Source organism: Homo sapiens, chromosome 12, assembly GCF_000001405.40.
Source record: "Homo sapiens chromosome 12, GRCh38.p14 Primary Assembly".
NCBI classification, from domain to species: Eukaryota; Metazoa; Chordata; class Mammalia; order Primates; family Hominidae; genus Homo; species Homo sapiens.
The window spans coordinates 65,337,096-65,358,122 of record NC_000012.12 but is presented as its reverse complement, the minus strand read 5'-3'; the positions used below and the strand labels follow the sequence as shown (position 1 = coordinate 65,358,122).

At 36.6% G+C, this 21,027-nt stretch overlaps 1 protein-coding gene across 8 annotated transcripts in view; it reads right to left on the bottom strand.

Moving 5' to 3' along the window:
• Positions 1-21,027, bottom strand: part of MSRB3 (methionine sulfoxide reductase B3) — a 188,225-nt gene that overhangs the window by 108,785 nt on the left and 58,413 nt on the right. The window lies entirely within an intron of this gene.

Genomic DNA, 21,027 nt, shown 5'->3' with positions numbered 1-21,027 from the left:
ATAATGATAATAAATAAAAATAAAAGAGAAAAAGAGACTTCTCTCGCTTGTAGAGGAATTCCAAATAATTTATGTAGAGATACTCTGCCTTCAAGGATGGGGAACATAAATCCCTACTCTTTTTTAAGTGTAGGCTGTGTGTAGTGACTTTCTTCCTAAGAATACACTAGGAAAAGGAGGGGAAAAAAGTATGTTTACAGTGAAGAAACCTAACAAACACTACCTCAGCCATGTGGTCAAGGTCAATATCAAAAGTGATGACGTGTTGTTCGCATATACCTTTAATATGATGTGATGAAAATGGTACTTAACCTCTGTGATCTTCCTCCAAAAAAACCATAACCCCAATCTAGTTATGAGAAAAATACCAGACAAATTCCGGCAGAGGAGCATCCTGCAAAATGCCTGATCATGACTCCTCAAACCTGCCAAGGTCATCAAAAATAAGAAAAGTCTGAGAAACTGTCACAGCCAAGAGAAGACTAAGGAGACAGAAGGACTAAATGTGTGGTATCCTGGATAGAATCCTGGAACAGAAAAAGGACATTAGGTAAAAACTAAGAAAGTATGAAAAAAATGGGCTTTAGTTAATAATTACGTACCAATATTCATTTATAATTATAACAAATATTCCACACTAATGTAAGATGTTAATAGGAGAAACTGGGTGAGAGGGTATATGTGAACTCTCTGAACTATCTCAATTTTTCTGTAAATAGAAAACTGTTCTAAAAAATGAAGTCGATTTTTTAAAAAGCCAAAGAAGACAGGCTTATAATAGTTCAGGTCAAAGCGGATAAAGATGATGGTGGCTTAGACTAGAGCAGGAGCAATGGATATGAAGAGGAGTCAGACTCAGGATATATTTTGAAGGTGCGTGGAGGTGGAGCAAAATGCATTGGTAGACTAGATATGGGAGGTGAGGGAAAGAATAATTAAAGATGACTGCTAGGCTTTTTGCTCCGGTAACTGGGTGGATAATGAGTAGTACCTTCATTTAGTATATGGGGAAGAAATGAAGGAAGAGTAAGTTTTGTTCCTTTGGAGTCATTTGCCACTTCAATTTGTTCCTTATTCCTGGTTTATTCTCGTGAGCTACTAGGATCAATAAGAAAACTTCAAGCTGCATGGTCCGACACAGGATATTAGATTCATATAATTTTCTTGTTTTTAAAAAAATCATAAGGATACTAAAAGCCTACTTTATAATAGAATAGTATATAACTGCCTTGAAAAGAGATAGTATAAAATGTTTCTTGACTTAACTTGGGGACAGAAAATCTGTACTAAACCACTTGTTCCCTGGGCCCAAATCAATAATTCAAGAACATGTATTATTATCTGAATTACATTAACCTTTTGAAAAGCACAATTGAAGAATTTGGAAATCTATACTTTTAAGTTCTCTAGCTAATCCTGAGAACCACTAACCTGAATGTTCTTTTAAAGCTAAGAAAATCTCACCTATTTAAAATAGAACATTCTATCTTTCTAATTACTCCAATTTGTTTATATTAGTAATTTCCAAAGTAACTTTTTGCCTAATGAGGAAGTAAAATATGTCCCCTCACCAAAATCCCACAAATCACCACTAAAGAACTTACTCATGTAACCAAATACCACCAGTTCCTCAATAACCTATGGGAATAAATTTTTTTTAAAAAAGTCCCCTCACATTGTATAAACTTTCACATTGAAAAGTTTTTAAGCAGCACTGTTATAAAGTTGTCTTTGTGAGAAGCAATGAACTAAGAACCAAACAAGTGAAAAATCCATCAGAAAAAGACCCAGCCCCGAGGCAAAAAATAATACATTTGCTACTTTCTTGGTGAACTTATTAAAACTATTATTTTATTTTTCAGCTATTATCTCTGAACACATGAATCAAATTATAAAACCTTAGATTCCATTGATTACTCAGGCAGGGCCAACAGACCACCTAAAATAATTCATCACTAAAAAGATAAATTTTCTGTGGTCAGTAAAATTACACTATAGTAAGCCCCCAAGCAAAACTAATAAGAAAGACAAATATTCAATATCAAGAACCCTTCCTTCAAATCTGGAAAGCATGAAAAGAAGTTCACTGGAAGGTCTAAACATTCATTAAGTCATAGTCAGTCAAGAGCATTTATGGAGTGCTCACTATGTGCAAAGCACTCTATTTGAAGGAAGAGGTCTTGCTTAAAGTATCCATAATTCAGCCCATAAAGCCCTTTATAGTTTAAGATCCACAGTTTGAACCTCAATCAAGAGCAAATGGATAGCTCGTTCATACTGAAAGATGCAGGTATATTTGGTCAGTCAGTGCTGCTGGGTTTTCTTAAGTTCAATGGGTCTTTGCAGTCTGTGTAAATTCAGACTTCTGGGTGGTCTTCCAGAGCAATCTCAAAGGGGCATACTACAGAGGTACTGGAGTTAATTTATGCTTATGCAGACTATGAGTCATGCGACTGCCATTAACACTATGTACTTAAGTGAGTACATAGAAGTAAAATGTGCAAATCTCCAGCGGCATAAAGCAAGTTTCCTTAGAATAAAAAAAATTGCAACTAGAATGACCACTGAAAAACAAATCAAGACATGAATGAACAAAAGTATAGGTTGTTTCAAGTACAATGCAAGATAATGAAGATGAAATATAAACAGCAGAAGGAATCATGGCCAGCCAACTTATGATTATGAAATGCAGTACTGATAAACCAAATAGAGTTAGTTATCTGGTTTGACCTTAATGGACTCTCTTTTGTCTACTCACTGGTGGTGGTAAGAAGCAGTAACATGTTCAAATAGAGAAAATAACAGCACCACTAATGAGAACAGCCATGTATTGAACTCCTACTCTAGGCAAGCATACTTGACACTAATACACAAGCTAAGAAACTAGCTAATCCAAAAAACGGAATACTGAAAACTAATCTCATAGATTGACAATTATTAATCTAAAAAAATCTAACACAATTATTCATCTAAAAAATTTCCTATCCCCCAGAAGGAGAAAAATTAATCTCCTTTTCTAAAGTTTATCCTACATGTTCTTTAACCTCTTTCCCTCATTTCTAGCACCTTATATGCATCTCTCTTTACACCTTTTTTCAGTTTATCCAAAAAATTAAAATCTTTCCATGAATCTACTTCCCCTCCTATTATAAGGAGTTAGCTTTACCACTCCTACTTTAACTATAGTAGCATAACTATAATGACTACGTTTTCTGGGATAATTCCAATTTTAAATATTTTAACACATTGTCTCCATTTCAGCTTGTGGTTTGAAAACATGAGATTGTATCCTAACATCTTCAAAATCTTACTTTCACTACTACTTCCACTAAAATTGCCTTTTCTAAATTTTCTAATATTGCCAACTCAAATGACTGGTTCTTATTCTTGTGAGTCTCTGCAGCATTTCACTGCCTTATTCATTCCTTCCATGAAACCTATACATCTACCTTTGGCCTTTGTAGTAAACTTAAAGATCTTTCTTAAAAAAAAATTAAACGAATGGCTAAATAGAATAACCAATGCCGAGAAGTCCTTAAAGGACCTGATGGAGCTGAAAACCATGGCAAGAGAACTACGTGACGAATGCACAAGCCTCAGTAGCCGATTCGATCAACTGGAAGAAAGGGTTATCAGTGATGGAAGATCAAATGAATGAAATGAAGCAAGAAGAGAAGTTTAGAGAAAAAAGAATAAAAAGAAACGAACAAAGCCTCCAAGAAATAAGGGACTGTGAAAAGACCAAATCTACGTCTGATTGGTGTACCTGAAAGTGACGGGAAGAATGGAACCAAGTTGGAAAACACTCTGCAGGATATTATCCAGGAGAACTTCCCCAATCTAGCAGGGCACGCCAACATTCAGATTCAGGAAATACAGAGAATGCCACAAAGATACTCTTCGAGAAGAGCAACTCCAAGACACATAATTGTCAGATTCACCAAAGTTGAAATGAAGGAAAAAATGTCAAGGGCAGCCAGAGAGAAAGGTCGGGTTACCCACAAAGGGAAGCCCATCAGACTAACAGCTGATCTCTCGGCAGAAACTCTACAAGCCAGAAGAGAGTGGGGGCCAATATTCAACATTCCTAAAGAAAAGAATTTTCAACCCAGAATTTCATATCCAGCCAAACTAAGCTTCATAAGTGAAGGAGAAATAAAATCCTTTACAGACAAGCAAATGCTGAGAGATTTTGTCACCACCAGGCCTGCCCTAAAAGAGCTCCTGAAGGAAGCACTAAACATGAAAAGGAACAACCAGTACCAGCCGCTGCAAAAACATGCCAAATTGTGAAGACCATCGAGGCTAAGAAGAAACTGCATCAACTAACGAGCAAAATCACCAGCTAACATCATAATGACAGGATCAAATTCACACATAATAACATTAACTTTAAATGTAAATGGGCTAAATGCTCCAATGAAAAGACACAGACTGGCAAATTGGATAAAGAGTCAAGACCCATCAGGGTGCTGTATTCAGGAAACCCATCTCACATGCAGAGACACACATAGGCTCAAAATAAAGGGATGGAGGAAGATCTACCAAGCAAATGGAAAACAAAAAAAGGCAGGGGTTGCAATCCTAGTCTCTGATAAAACAGACTTTAAACCAACAAATATCAAAAGGGACAAAGAAGGCCATTACATAATGGTAAAGGGATCAATTCAACAAGAAGAGCTAACTATCCTAAATATATATGCACCCAATACAGGAGCACCCAGATTCATAAAGCAAGTCTTTAGAGACCTACAAAGAGACTTAGACTCCCACACAATAATAATGGGAGACTTTAACACCCCACTGTCAACATTAGACAGATCAACGAGATAGAAAGTTAACAAGGATATCCAGGAACTGAACTCAGCTCTGCAACAGGTGGACCTAATGGACATCTGCAGAACTTTCCACCCCAAATCAACAGAATATACATTCCTTTCAGCACCACACCACGCCTATTCCAAAACTGACCACATAGTTGGAAGCAAAGCACTCCTCACCAAATGTAAAAGAATAGAAATTATAACAAACTGTCTCTCAGAACACAGTGCGATCAAACTAGAACTCAGGATTAAGAAAATCACTAAAGCTTTGTTCTTTTGGCTTAGGATTGCCTTGGCGATGCGGGCTTTTTTTTTGGTTCCATATGAACTTTAAAGTAGTTTTTTCCAATTCTGTGAAGAAAGTCATTGGTAGCTTTATGGGGATGGCATTGAATCTGTAAATTACCTTGGGCAGTATGGCCATTTTCACGATATTGATTCTTCCTATCCATGAGCATGGAATGTTCTTCCATTTGTTTGTATCCTCTTTTATTTCATTGAGCAGTGGTTTGTAGTTCTCCTTGAAGAGGTCCTTCACATCCCTTGTAAGTTGGATTCCTAGGTATTTTATTCTCTTTGAAGCAATTGTGAATGGGAGTTCACTCATAATTTGGCTCTCTGTTTGTCTGTTATTGGTGTATAAGAATGCTTGTGATTTTTGTACATTGATTTTGTATCCTGAGACTTTGCTGAAGTTGCCTATCAGCTTAAGGAGATTTTGGGCTGAGACAATGGGGTTTTCTAGATATACAATCATGTCGTCTGCAAACAGGGACAATTTGACTTCTTCTTTTCCTAATTGAATACCCTTTATTTCCTTCTCCTGCCTAATTGCCCTGGCCAGAACTTCCAACACTATGTTGAATAGGAGTGGTGAGAGAGGGCATCCCTGTCTTGTGCCAGTTTTCAAAGGGAATGCTTCCAGTTTTTGCCCATTCAGTATGATATTGGCTGTGGGTTTCTCATAGATAGCTCTTATTATTTTGAAATACGTCCCATCAATACCTAATTTACTGAGAGTTTTTAGCATGAAGGGTTGTTGAATTTTGTCAAAGGCTTTTTCTGCATCTATTGAGATAATTATGTGGTTTTTGTCGTTGGCTCTGTTTATATGCTGGATTACATTTATTGATTTGCATATATTGAACCAGCCTTGCATCTCAGGGATGAAGCCCACTTGATCATGGTGGATAAGCTTTTTGATGTGCTGCTGGATTCGTTTTGCCAGTATTTTATTGAGGATTTTTGCATCAATGTTCATCAAGGATATTGGTCTAAAATTCTCTTTTTTGGTTGTGTCTCTGTCCGGCTTTGGTATCAGAATGATGCTGGCCTCATAAAATGAGTTAGGGACGATTCCCTCTTTTTCTATAGATTGGAATAGTTTCAGAAGGAATGGTACCAGTTCCTCCTTGTACCTCTGATAGAATTCGGCTGTGAATCCATGTGGTCCTGGACTCTTTTTGGTTGGTAAACTATCGATTATTGCCACAATTTCAGCTCCTATTATTGGTCTATTCAGAGATTCAACTTCTTCCTGGTTTAGTCTTGGGAGAGTGTATGTGTCGAGGAATTTATCCATTTCTTCTAGATTTTCTAGTTTATTTGCATAGAGGTGTTTGTAGTATTCTCTGATGGTAGTTTGTATTTCTGTGGGATCAGTGGTGATATCCCCTTTATCATTTTTTATTGTGTCTATTTGATTCTTCTCTCTTTTTTTCTTTATTAGTCTTGCTAGCAGTCTATCAATTTTGTTGATCCCTTCAAAAAACCAGCTCCTGGATTCATTAATTTTTTGAAGGGTTTTTTGTGTCTCTATTTCCTTCAGTTCTGCTCTGATTTTAGTTATTTCTTGCCTTCTGCTAGCTTTTGAATGTGTTTGCTCTTGCTTTTCTAGTTCTTTTAATTGTGATGTTAGGGTGTCAATTTTGGATCTTTCCTGCTTTCTCTTGTGGGCATTTAGTGCTATAAATTTCCCTCTACACACTTCTTTGAATGTGTCCCAGAGATTCTGGTATGTTGTGTCTTTGTTCTCGTTGGTTTCAAAGAACATCTTTATTTCTGCCTTCATTTCGTTATGTATCCAGTAGTCATTCAGGAGCAGGTTGTTCAGTTTCCATGTAGTTGAGTGGTTTTGAGTGAGATTCTTAATCCTGAGCTCTAGTTTGATCGCACTGTGGTCTGAGAGATAGTTTGTTATAATTTCTGTCCTTTTACATTTGCTGAGGAGAGCTTTACTTCCAACTATGTGGTCAATTTTGGAATAGGCGTGGTGTGGTGCTGAAAAAAATGTATATTCTGTTGATTTGGGGTGGAGAGTTCTGTAGATGTCTATTAGGTCCGCTTGGTGCAGAGCTGAGTTCAATTCCTGGGTATCCTTGTTGACTTTCTGTCTCGTTGATCTGTCTAATGTTGACAGCGGGGTGTTAAAGTCTCCCATTATTAATGTGTGGGAGTCTAAGTCTCTTTGTAGGTCACTCAGGACTTGCTTTATGAATCTGGGTGCTCCTGTATTGGGTGCATATATATTTAGGATAGTTAGCTCTTCTTGTTGAATTGATCCCTTTACCATTATGTAATGGCCTTCTTTGTCTCTTTTGATCTTTGTTGGTTTAAAGTCTGTTTTATCAGAGACTAGGATTGCAACCCCTGCCTTTTTTTGTTTTCCATTTGCTTGGTAGATCTTCCTCCATCCTTTAATTTTGAGCCTATGTGTGTCTCTGCACGTGAGATGGGTTTCCTGAATACAGCACACTGATGGGTCTTGACTCTTTATCCAATTTGCCAGTCTGTGTCTTTTCATTGGAGCATTTAGTCCATTTACATTTAAAGTTAATATTGTTACGTGTGAATTTGATCCTGTCATTATGATGTTAGCTGGTGATTTTGCTCGTTAGTTGATGCAGTTTCTTCCTAGTCTCGATGGTCTTTACATTTTGGCAAAGCTGGAGGCATCACACTACCTGACTTCAAACTATACTGCAAGGCTACAGTAACCAAAACAGCATGGTACTGGTACCAAAACAGAGATATAGATCAATGGAACAGAACAGAGCCCTCAGAAATAACGCCGCATATCTACAACTATCTGATCTTTGACAAACCTGAGAAAAACAAGCAATGGGGAAAGGATTCCCTATTTAATAAATGGTGCTGGGAAAACTGGCTAGCCATATGTAGATAGCTGAAACTGGATCCCTTCCTTACACCTTATACAAAAATCAATTCAAGATGGATTAAAGACTTAAATGTTAGACCTAAAACCATAAAAACCCTAGAAGAAAACCTAGGCATCACCATTCAGGACATAGGCATGGGCAAGGACGTCATGTCCAAAACACCAAAAGCAATGGCAACAAAAGACAAAATTGACAAATGGGATCTAATTAAACTAAAGAGCTTCTGCACAGCAAAAGAAACTACCATCAGAGTGAACAGTCAACCTACAAAACGGGAGAAAATTTTTGCAACCTACTTATCTGACAAAGGGCTAATATCCAGAATCTACAATGAACTCAAACAAATTTACAAGAAAAAAACAAACAACCCCATCAAAAAGTGGGTGAAGGACATGAACAGACACTTCTCAAAAGAAGACATTTATGCAGCCAAAAAACACTTGAAAAAATGCTCACCATCACTGGCCATCAGAGAAATGCAAATCAAAACCACAATGAGATACCATCTCACACCAGTTAGAATGGCAATCATTAAAAAGTCAGGAAACAACAGGTGCCGGAGAGGATGTGGAGAAATAGGAACACTTTTACACTGTTGGTGGGACTGTAAACTAGTTCATCCATTGTGGAAGTCAGTGTGGCGATTCCTCAGGGATCTAGAACTAGAAATACCATTTGACCCAGCCATCCCATTACTGGGTATATACCCAAAGGACTATAAATCTTGCTGCTATAAAGACACATGCACACGTATGTTTATTGTGGCATTATTCACAATAGCAAAGACTTGGAACCAACCCAAATGTCCAACAATGATAGACTGGATTAAGAAAATGTGGCACATATACACCATGGAATACTATGCAGCCATAAAAAATGATGAGTTCATGTCCTTTGTAGGGGCATGGATGAAACTGGAAATCATCATTCTCAGTAAACTATCGCAAGAACAAAAAACCAAATACTGCATATTCTCACTCATAGGTGGGAATTGAACAATGAGATCACATGGACACAGGAAGGGGAATATCACACTCTGGGGACTGTGGTGGGGTGGGGAGAAGGGGGAGGGATAGCACTGGGAGATATACCTAATGCTAGATGACGAGTTAGTGGGTGCAGCGCACCAGCATGGCACATGTATACATATGTAACTAACCTGCACATTGTGCACATGTACCCTAAAACTTAAAGTATATAAAAAAAGAAAAGAAACTCACTCAAAACCGCACAACCACATGGAAACTGAACAACCTGCTCCTGAATGACTACTGGGTACATAACGAAATGAAGGCAGAAATAAAGATGTTCTTTGAAACCAATGAGAACAAAGACACAACATACCAGAATCTCTGGGACACATCGAAAGCCGTGTGTAGGGGGAAATTTATAGCACTAAATGCCCACAAGAGAAAGCAGGAAGGATTTAAAATTGACACCCTAACGTCACAATTAAAAGAACTAGAGAAGCAAGAGCAAACACATTCAAAAGCTAGCAGAAGGCAAGAAATAACTAAGATCAGAGCAGAACTGAAGGAAATAGAGACACAAAAAACCCTTCAAAAAATCAGTGAATCCAGGAGCTGGTTTTTTGAAAAGATCAACAAAATTGATAGACTGCTAGCAAGACTAATAAAGAAGAAAAGAGAGAAGAATCAAATAGATGCAATAAAAAAATGATAAAGGGGATGTCACCACCGATCCCACAGAAATACAAACTACCATCAGAGAATACTATAAACACCTCTATGCAAATAAACTACAAAATCTAGAAGAAATGGATAAATTCCTCAACACATACACCCTCCCAAGACTAAACCAGGAAGAAGTTGAATCTCCAAATAGACCAATAACATGCTCTGAAATTGAGGCAATAATTAATAGCTTACCAACCAAAAAAAGTCCAGGACCAGAGGGATTCACAGTCGAATTCTACCAGAGGTACAAGGAGGAGCTGGTACCATTTCTTCTGAAACTATTCCAATCAACAGAAAAAGAGGGAATCCTCCCTAACTCATTTTATGAGGCCAGCATCATCCTGATACCAAAGCCTGGCAGAGACACAACAAAAAAAGAGAATTTTAGACCAATATCCCTAATGAACATCGATGCAAAAATCCTCAGTAAAATACTGGCAAATCGAATCCAGCAGCACATCAAAAAGCTTATCCACCATGATCAAGTGGGCTTCATCCCTGAGATACAAGGCTGGTTCAACATACGCAAATCAGTAAACGTAATCCAGCATATAAACAGAACCAACGACAAAAACCACATGATTATCTCAATAGATGCAGAAAAGGCCTTTGAGAAAATTCAACAACCTTCGTGCTAAAAACTCTCAATAAATTAGGTACTGATGGGACATATCTGCAAATAATAAGAGTTATCTATGACAAACCCACAGGCAATGTCATACTGAATGGGCAAAAACTGGAAGCATTCCCTTTGAAAACTGGCACAAGACAGGGATGCCCTCTCTCACCACTCCTATTCAACATAGTGTTGGAAGTTCTGGCCAGGGCAATTAGGCAGGAGAAAGAAATAGAGGGTATTCAGCTAGGAAAAGAGGAAGTCAAATTGTCCCTGTTTGCAGATGACATGATTGTATATCTAGAAAACCCCATCATCTAAGCCCAAAATCTCCTTAAGCTGATAGGCAACTTCAGCAAAGTCTCAGGATACAAAATCAGTGTGCAAAAATCAAAAGCATTCTAATACACCAATAACAGACAAACAGAGAGCCAAATCATGAGTGAACTCCCATTCACAATTGCTTCAAAGAGAATAAAATACCTAGGAATCCAACTTACAAGGGACGTGAAGGATCTCTTCAAGGAGAACTACAAACCACTGCTCAATGAAATAAAAGAGGATACAAACAAATGGAAGAACATTCCATGCTCATGGGTAGGAAGAATCAATATCGTGAAAATGCCCATACTGCCCAAGGTAATTTATAGATTCAATGCCAGCCCCATAAAGCTACCAATGACTTTCTTCACAGAATTGGAAAAAACTACTTTAAAGTTCATATGGAACCAAAACAGAGCCCACATTGCCAAGGCAATCCTAAGCCAAAAGAACAAAGCTGAAGGCATCATGCTATCTGACTTCAAACTATACTGCAAGGCTACAGTAACAAAACAGCATGGCACTGGTACCAAAACAGAGATATAGACCAATGGAACAGAACAGAGCCCTCAGAAATAATGCTGCATATCTACAGCTATCTGATCTTTGACAAACCTGACAAAAACAAGAAATGGGGAAAGGATTCCCTATTTAATAAATGGTGCTGGGAAAACTGGCTAGCCATATGTAGAAAGCTGAAACTGGATCCCTTCCTTACACCTTATACAAAAATTAATTCAAGATGGATTGAAGACTTAAATGTTAGACCTAAAATCATAAAAACCCTAGAAGAAAATCTAGGCAATACCATTCAGGACATAGGCATGGGCAAGGACTTCGTGTCTAAAACACCAAAAGCAATGGCAACAAAAGCCAAAATTGACAAATGGGATCTAATTAAACTAAAGAGCTTCTGCACAGCAAAAGAAACTACCATCAGAGTGAACAGTCAACCTACAGAATGGGAGAAAATTTTTGCAATCTACTCATCTGACAAAGGGCTAATATCCAGAAACTACAATGAACTCAAACAAATTTACAAGAAAAAAACAAACAACCCCATCAAAAAGTGGGTGAAGGATATGAACAGACACTTCTCAAAAGGAGACATTTATGTAGCCAAAAAACACATGAAAAAATGCTCACCATCACTGGCCATCAGAGAAATGCAAATCAAAACCACAGTGAGATACCATCTCACACCAGTTAGAATGGCAATCATTAAAAAGTCAGGAAACAACAGGTGCCGGAGAGGATGTGGAGAAATAGGAACACTTTTACACTGTTGGTGGGACTGTAAACTAGTTCAACCATTGTGGAAGTCAGTGTGGCGATTCCTCAGGGATCTAGAACTAGAAATACCATTTGACCCAGCCATCCCATTACTGGGTATATACCCAAAGGATTATAAAACATGCTGCTATAAAGACACATGCACACATATGTTTACTGTGGCACTATTCACAATAGCAAAGACTTGGAACCAACCCAAATGTCCAACAATGATAGACTGGATTAACAAGATGTGGCACATATATACACCATGGAATACCATGCAGCCATAAAAAATGATGATTTCACGTCCTTTGTAGGGACGTGGATGAAGCTGGAAACCATCATTCTCAGCAAACTATCACAAGGACAAAAAAACCAAACACCACATGTTCTCACTCATAGGTGGGAATTGAACAATGAGAACACATGGACACAGGAAGGGGAACATCACACACCGTGGCGTGTTGTGGGGTGGGGTGAGTGGGGAGGGATAGCATTAGGAGATATACCTAATGTTAAATGATGAGTTACTGGGTGCAGCACACCAACATGGCACATGTATACATATGTAACAAACCTGCACGTTGTGCATACGTACCCTAAAACTTAAAGCATAATAATAATAAAAAAAAGATCTTCCTTATCTACTTTAGCATTTCCTACGTGTGTTATCAGGAACATTAGCTTCACAACATTTCGTCAATTATAAAAATTTTCTGTGGTGAAAAAATTCTGAAAGTGCTACATATGTATTACTCCTGGAGCTCTACAATGAACATTAGTGTGTTGTAGGCTCCATGAGTTTTATGATAAAGCAACCATTTGACTTATTTTAATTCGGTGTTTCCCAATGAGCCATCTTTTATTTTCCTAGTCCAATGACACTCATTTTTTTCACAGAACACAATATCAACATGTCCTGGGACTAGCATTATGTAGATGTAATGGTCTGATGAAACAAATATTCAGTGGAACACACTTTGGGGAAGACTGATATACCTGAAATTTTATGTTAAAATCTCAAATCTATCAGGCTTCCAAAACTGAATTCATCATCTTCCTTTCCAAACTAGGTTTTAAACATCAAATTAATCTTTAGGAATAGCTTTTCACCAATCTCGCATTCAGACAATTGATAAATCTTTTCAGCTCTCCATGCCTATTGTTTGTAGTGTTTGTTGCATGACTACTGACATCACCCTAAGGCAGGGCTTCCTTAACCTTCGCCTGGACTCATGGGAACCAAGCATAAGAATTATGGGAGAGTTTTAAAAAGAAAATTCTAGAATCCACTATAATCTTGCTACATCAGAACTTTGAGGAGAGACTTGGAATGTATGGTTCTAATGGACAGTGAGGTTTGCAAATTACTGAAGTAGACCCTGACAGCTCTACGACTTTTCCCCTTGAGCTAAGCCTTTTCAGTTCTCTTCCATTGTCTTTTCAAAGTGACATGGTTTTGAGTCTCCTAACCATCAGCTGCTCTTCCCTGAATGTAGCTTTTTGCCCAATGGGGAAGTAAAAAAATGTCTCTTCACACCGTATAAACTTCCACATTGAAAAAGCATCACTGTTACAAAGCTGTCTTGGTGGGAAGCACTGACCTAAGCACCAAACAGGTGAAAATCTAGAAAAAGACCCAGTTCTGGGAAAAAATAATACACATACCACTTTATGTCTATAAACCTTTTAAAGTGAGGGTCTCATATTGAACCACACAGTGCTCTGGATGTAGGCTGGCCATTTGGTAAGCTATTAAAACTATCAATTATCCATTGTCTCCTGAGTTTCTCTAGATCTCTTTTTACTCTAAATAAGCAAAATTGCTCTTTTCCCCACCCACCCCTGCAGCAAATTATTACCAGTTATCATCAACACCAATCGGCAATAACCAGAACTGACCCAGAATATGACCAATAACAGAATATGATGCAGTAAACAAACAAACCTTCCCAGAATTTTAAAGGAGTACTTACCTAATAGATCTCCAGTCTCTATTCCAACAAGCAGCATGCCTCCCTTTCACTGATGAACCTTTGTTCTGAAAACTACTGTGTATACCAATCCTTACACTGTTCAGTATCAATGCTTCACATTTACAGTGTTTTTTCCACTTACAAAACATTTCAACATTATTTACTTAATCCTCTCAAAAGTTCTTGTGACAAGGGTATTATCCTCATGTTACAAACGAGGAAATTAAGGCTCATAGAGGTTAAGTAGCTTATTCAAAGTCACACACAGTAAAGTGGGGAAAGTTGTGACTTTAAACCTCACATGTATTACACCTTAATCATAGCTTTTTCCACTTTAAAATCCAAGTATAGTCATTGGCCATTATCAGAAAATTAGCACCAATTAACACCAGAGTGTGATAGCTACCAGATGGTGAATTACTCAGCAAAAAGAAGAATCAGCCAGAATACAGGGAAGCATTATAACATAATATTGAGCTAGGGAAGGGTGCCTTAGGGGCCAGACAGACATGAATCTATGTCCTAGCTCCATCTCTTACTACCCGTGTTACCTTGAGCATATTACATACCCTTTGTGAGCTTTGATTTTCTATTTAAGTTGTAAAAAATAAAGGAGACAATTTTCTTTAAAGTGCTTAGCAAAATGCATGGTAATTTCTCAACCAATGGTGGCTTTAAAATATTCCCAATTTTAAAATATTCAAACATGATAAACAGTTAAAAAAAATCAATCCATTTGAAAATAAATGCAAATCTAACTTTGGTGTCCCGCCCTTCATTGATTGCCTCTAGGCTTCTGGGAATAGGACAGTGTAAGTGCTACAGGAAGATGGAAGGTAGTCATGAGGAGGGAGAAAATTTGAAACCAGAAGGTTTAAGCAGTTTAAGCTTCCGGTGGCTACCTTTCATTAGGAAGTCATCACCATTACCAGTCACTTAGGGATAAAAAAGGAAAGAAGCAGCAACAACTTAGAAGAGATGGCAGTGGGCAAAGTATCTACCACGAATGTGAGTAGATGGGCAATATGGATTTTGGCCTTTAAAAATAAATGTGGAACTACATTCTAATTCATTCTTTCAAATTATTATTGGGAAAAGATAAATTTTGTCATAGAGAGATGATGTGTTTAAAGTCAGTTTTTAAAATAAATTGTTCAGTGTTTGTAACACATTGAGCAAAGGTAATATTAAAATAATTAGTGTTTTTCTGATACCCTATAAATACTTGCTAATTTTAGAAAAACTTAAAAGTACAGATTTTAAAAATCACCTATAATTGCACCATCCAGAGATAACTACTGTTAACATTTGGTACAAAACCTTTTAAACTATTTCCTATGCATATATTTATAGGTATGCATATTTCATAGATATGGGATCATATGTTAATACTCTTTTAGACTTATAAATGTATTTTAAATCTCTTTCCAGATAATTAAATGTTCTTTTGCACTATTATCTGAAATGTCAGATATATTTTCACCATATAGCTCATTTACATAGACTCCTATTTTGGACATTGAAATTATTTCTTGTATCATAAGAAGAATGATTAAGAACATTCTTGTAGCTATATCTTTATGCATAAAAATGATTTTTGGAATAAGTTCCTAGAAGTGTAATTGCTAGACCTATGGCATGCAGAATTCTAAGACTTTTAATAATTTATTACACTGCTATCCAGAAAGGTACTACCAATTCACACTCTACCCTGTAGTATTTGAAAGTGCTAATTTCCTATACTCTGACCAATACTTAATTTGACAATATTGGAAATCTTCACTAATTTGGTAGGTAAAAAATTATTCATCTTTTTACCTCATTTTTTATTATTAAGAGGTGAAAGATTTTTTCCTAAGTTTGTGGATCATATGTATTTCTTATTCTGAAAAGTATCTGTTTATATTTTCTGCCCATTTTTCTGAGGTTTGTCTTTCTCAATTGATTTTGATATGAATCTTTTGTCCATCAAATGGATTGCATATATTTTTCCCAGTTTGCTTTTTTGCCACTGCTGTTGGTTTTTTTTTTAATAATATACTCTATGGTGTTTTTGAGCTATAGAAAAGTAAAATATTTAGTAGTCCAATCCAATGTCTTTTATCTTTTTATTTCTGCTTTGGGAATCTTGTTTAGAAAGGCCTACATCACCCCAGTGTTATACAAGTTCCCACTTCTATTTTCCCCTAGAACTTGTATTGTAGTAGTGTTGAGTGGTGAGAGACAACAGAAAAAAACACTTTGGTTTTTCTTCTATACCCTTACAAATGACTTCTTAGATTTAATGAAACATAGTATTCATTTATACTAAGAGGTTTTTAAATTAAAGAATACATTTTGAATGTGTATAAAATCTCTTCTGAGTACATATTAAAATGATTATATTTTTCCTAAGATGTCCCAGTATTGAACCATTTGTACATCCCTGAAATAAACCTTACCTTGTCATGACATGTTACTTGTTCAACATATTGCTATATTCCTTTTACTAATATTTTAGTTAAGATTCTTACATCTATTTTCTTTTTTATTTTTAATTTTTGTGGATATATAGTAGGTATATACTTATGGGTTACCTAAGATATTTTGATACCAGCATGCAATGCATAATTACCACATCGGGGTCATTACTGCAAGCATTTATCCTTTGTTTCAAACAACCCAATTATACTCTTTTAGTTTTTTTTTTTTAATGTACAATTATTTTTTTACTACAGTCTCCCTGCTGTGCTAGCAAATTCTAGGTCTCATTTAGTTTTTCAATTTTTTGTTCTTCATAACCATTTTTTGTACCCGTTAACCATCCTCCCTTCCCCCCAACTGTTCCAGCCTCTGGTAACCATCCTTCTACTCTCTCTCTCTCTCCATGAGTTCAACTGTTTTAATTTTTAGCACCCACAGAAAAGTGAGAACATGTGATGTTTGTCTTTCTGTGTCTGGCTTATTTTACTTCACATAATGAACTCCAGTTCCATCCATGTTGTTGCAAATAACTGAATCTCATTTTTTATGGCTGAATACTACTCCATTGTGTATATGTATCACATTTTCTTTATCTATTCGTCTGTGATGGACACTTAGGTTGCTCCCAAATCTTGGCTATTGTGAACAGTGCTGCAATAAAATGTGAGTGCATTTTATTTTCATAAATCAGATAGGTCTATAGTTTTTCTTTGATTGAATATCTTTTTATCAGATCTTGATTTTAGGAGTACTTTACATTTGTCAATAAGTTGATAAGATTTATTCTATTTTCTTTAATTGATACAGTTTATAATAGCATAGGAATAATTTATTTTTGTGATAACTCAATTTCTTCTGAGGTTGCTGGTCTATTCAGGTCTTGTAACTCTTCCTGAGTCAAATTTTGTATATTATTTTATTTTTAGAAAATTACCCACCTCACTGAGATTTTTAATTTATTAGAATTGGGTTATACATAGTATTCTCTTACGTTAAAATAGTTTTTTCCATCTCTGTGGTTTTATCTTATTCTCATTTCTAGTGTTTTAAACATTATACTTTTCCTCCCTTCTTTCTTGACTACACTTGACAGAAATGGTCAACTTTATTGGTCTTTTCAAAGATCAACCTCTAGAATTTATTTAACAGTTCTACATTTTTTATTTTTCATGTTAATTTATCTGGATGTTTTTAAGATTTTCTCCTTGCCTTTGATTTTTAGCAGTGTGATATAATAAGATATGGTTATTCATCCTGTTTCAGATTTCAAGCACTTTCTCAATCTGTAGCTTGAAGTTTTTTTCTAAGTTTGTGAGTTTGAGAAAATTCTTGGCAATTATCTCTTCAAATATTGCTTTCCCATCTTCTTTTCCCTCCCTTTCTGTGGCTCTAATTATATACATGTTATAACTGAAACATATTTCTTATCTATAATTTTTTCTTGCCCTCCTAGCTTCAGTCTGGATATTTTCTACTAACCTGTTTTTTGCTGTTGCTGTCTGCCAGTCCTACTTTCTTGTGTGTCTAATATGCTGTTAAATTCATCTGTTGTGTTTATACTTTCAGTTATTGCATTTTTCAGCCCTAAAACTACTTAACTCTTTACAATAGATTCCAGCTGTCTGGTGAAATTCTCCATCTTGTCATCTATTTTCTTGGATATATTAATCACAGTTATTTTAAAGCCTAACTTAAATATCTGTATATCTGGGCTGTGTATAAACCTGTTTGTTTTGTCAATTTATTTCCCTTGATCCTGTACTTTGGTATGCCTGGTAATTTTTTATGAATGCCAGGCTTTGTGCATGAAAAATTGCACTCCAGATAATTTAATCTTCTTCCAGAGAGGGTTCATCCTATCCTCTGATAGCCAGCTAGACTGGGGAAAGGAGGTGAAAGATCACCTTAATCAATTTGGGGACTGAGCTGACTGGAGGCTGGATTGCAGTTTTTGTTAAGTTTGGTCTATCTTTTGTTTGCCCCCATTACAGTGGTGTGCTGAAGCTTAGGAGAATCTATTGTTATCATTTAAGGAACCTGTTGAGCTAGCTGCTAAACATAGCCATTATTAAAAATAAATTACGTAAATTTATAATTAAATGAATTATATTAAAAACAAAGAAAATAAATATTCAAAATTCATCTCTTCCCAATTATTTAACTACACTTAACTACATTATTTACAACTGTCATATCTGTATTACAGAAATACTGTGTAATGGTGTTACCAAACATCTCTTCCCAACCCCACATTTAGTGATGTCATATCTGTACTTGAAATAGCCCACAGTGGAAGTATCTGCACCACAGAAATCAGAAAATACTAAAAGTCAGTGTTTGATTTATTATTTGTTGATTTAGAGCTAGATTTACCATTCTGTTGGTTGTCTAGATCAGCTGTTCTCAACAAGAGACAATTTTGCCCCAGGGAATATTTGAGAATGTCTGGAGGAATTTTTGTTTGTCACAAGTGCAGAAGAAGTGGGGACAATGCTACTGGCATCTAGTGGAAGGTCAGAGATGCTACTAAACATCCTACAATGTATAGGGCAGCTCCCCGCAACAAAGAATTGTCCATCCCAAAATGTAAATAGAGCTGAGGCTGAGAAACACCTTTCTGTTAGTATGTCTGCCTCTTAGCAGTATGTCTCTGTCTGGAATGTCTGGAATCTTTTTATTTTTATTTTTATTTTTTTGAGACAGAATCTTGCTCTGTCACCCAGGCTGGAATCCAGTGTCACAATCTTGGCTCACTGCAACCTCCGCCTCCCGGGTTCAAGCAATTCTCCTGCTTCAGCCTCCCAAGTAACTGGGACTACTGGTGCATGCCGCCACACCTGGCTAATTTCTTTTGTGTTTTAGTAGAGACAGGGTTTCACCATGTTGCCTAGGCTGGTCTCGAACTCCTGAGCTCAGGCAATCTGCCTACCTCAGCCTTCCAAAGTGCTAGAATTACAGGCATGAGCCACCGCGCCCAGCCTGGAATCTTTACCTCTCTTCTCATGCCTAGAATTGGCAAATGCCTGGAGGAAAAACGTGGACATTTTATCCCAATTTCTTTTATTGATTTTGTTGTTATTTTTCTAGCACTTTGAGATGAAGATTTAGTTTCATTATTTTTAATCGTTCTTATATTTGATAATAAAAAGGCTCGACTATGAATTTTTCTTCTAATGTAGCTTTGGGTGGTTGATCCTATTTTTTGTGACTTTTTGCTCTATTTACTGTTTTGTTGTTAAAGGTCCTAGCCATAGACGTCGTCATCACTCCCTTAGGTGAGACAGGTACAACTTTACAGTTGCAAGCAATGCTATTGTTGTAACAAGCATCTACCAAAAGTAAGTTCCAGGAGTAGTATATTAAAAACAAAGATAATAAATATTCAAAATTCACCACTTCCCAATTATTTAACTACATTTGACTACATTATTTACAACTGTCATATCTGTATTACAGAATACTGTGTAATGGTGCTACCAAACGTCCCTTCCCAAACCGACATTTAGTGATGTCATATCTGTACTTGAAATAGCCCACAGCAGAAGCATTTGCACCACAGAAATCAGAAAATACAAAAAAAAATTATTCAGAAAACATGGCAGGGAATTAATAATTATGGGAATCCAGTACCAAGTATCTATTTACATTTCCGCCATCTTAGTGTCAACTTGAATCATTTTCAGGCAGGTTATTGCTGTTATTCTTATCAGGATTAAACTGTATTTATTTAACAAATAGTCAAGTACCTAGGATTTGCAAAATCCAATGCCCGTGTAATGGAGTAGAGGTGGGGGCTACAAAAGCCCTATATCATAATCTATTATCTCAAAAAGTTCATAGTTTTGTTGGGGAGAGAGATTTGCAAATGACAAATGTATTAAAACTCTGAGTTACTCATGTAAGTTATATAATTTGGAGAATTTAAAATCCACACTAAAATATTTTTAAATTATTCAACAGAAACCAGAAATATTTTGGATGAGATGGATCACTGTGTCAAATAATATATTATAAAATATGCAATAATGTTGACATCAAAAGCCAGTTATACCGACTTAGTTTTGAGAACTTCAGATTTGCATGCTGTTTATGGCTTACTGTGTACATTTATTTAAAGTGGCAGTTTTCACAAATCTTACTTTATACTTCCAACTTTATATCTTTTCTAGCATGTTTCTGTGATCCTTTCCTTCGATACGGTAGGGTTATGAATTAGAAACAGTTGATGTTATTCTCACTATTAACAGCTGAAAAAAAATGAGATAGAAAGTTAAAATAACTTGACTATGGTTATGCAACAAATTTGTGCTGAAACTTTTTTTTTTTTTTTTTTTTTTTTTTTGATGTAGTCTCACTCTGTCACCAGGCTGGAGTACGGTGGTGTGATCTCGGCTCGCTGCCATCTCTATCTCCCGGGTTCAAGCGATTCTCCTGCCTCAGCCTCCCAAGTAGCTGAGACTACAGGCATGCATCACCATGCCCAGCTGATTTTTGGTTTTTTTTTGTTTTGTTTTGTTTTTTGTTTTTTTTGAGACGGAGTCTCGTTCTGTCGCCCAGGCGGGAGTGCTGTGGCGCGATCTCCGCTCACTGCAAGCTCCGCCTTCCGGGTTCACGCCATTCTCCTGCCTCAGCCTCCCGAGTAGCTGGGACTACAGGCGCCCGCCACTGCGCCCGGCT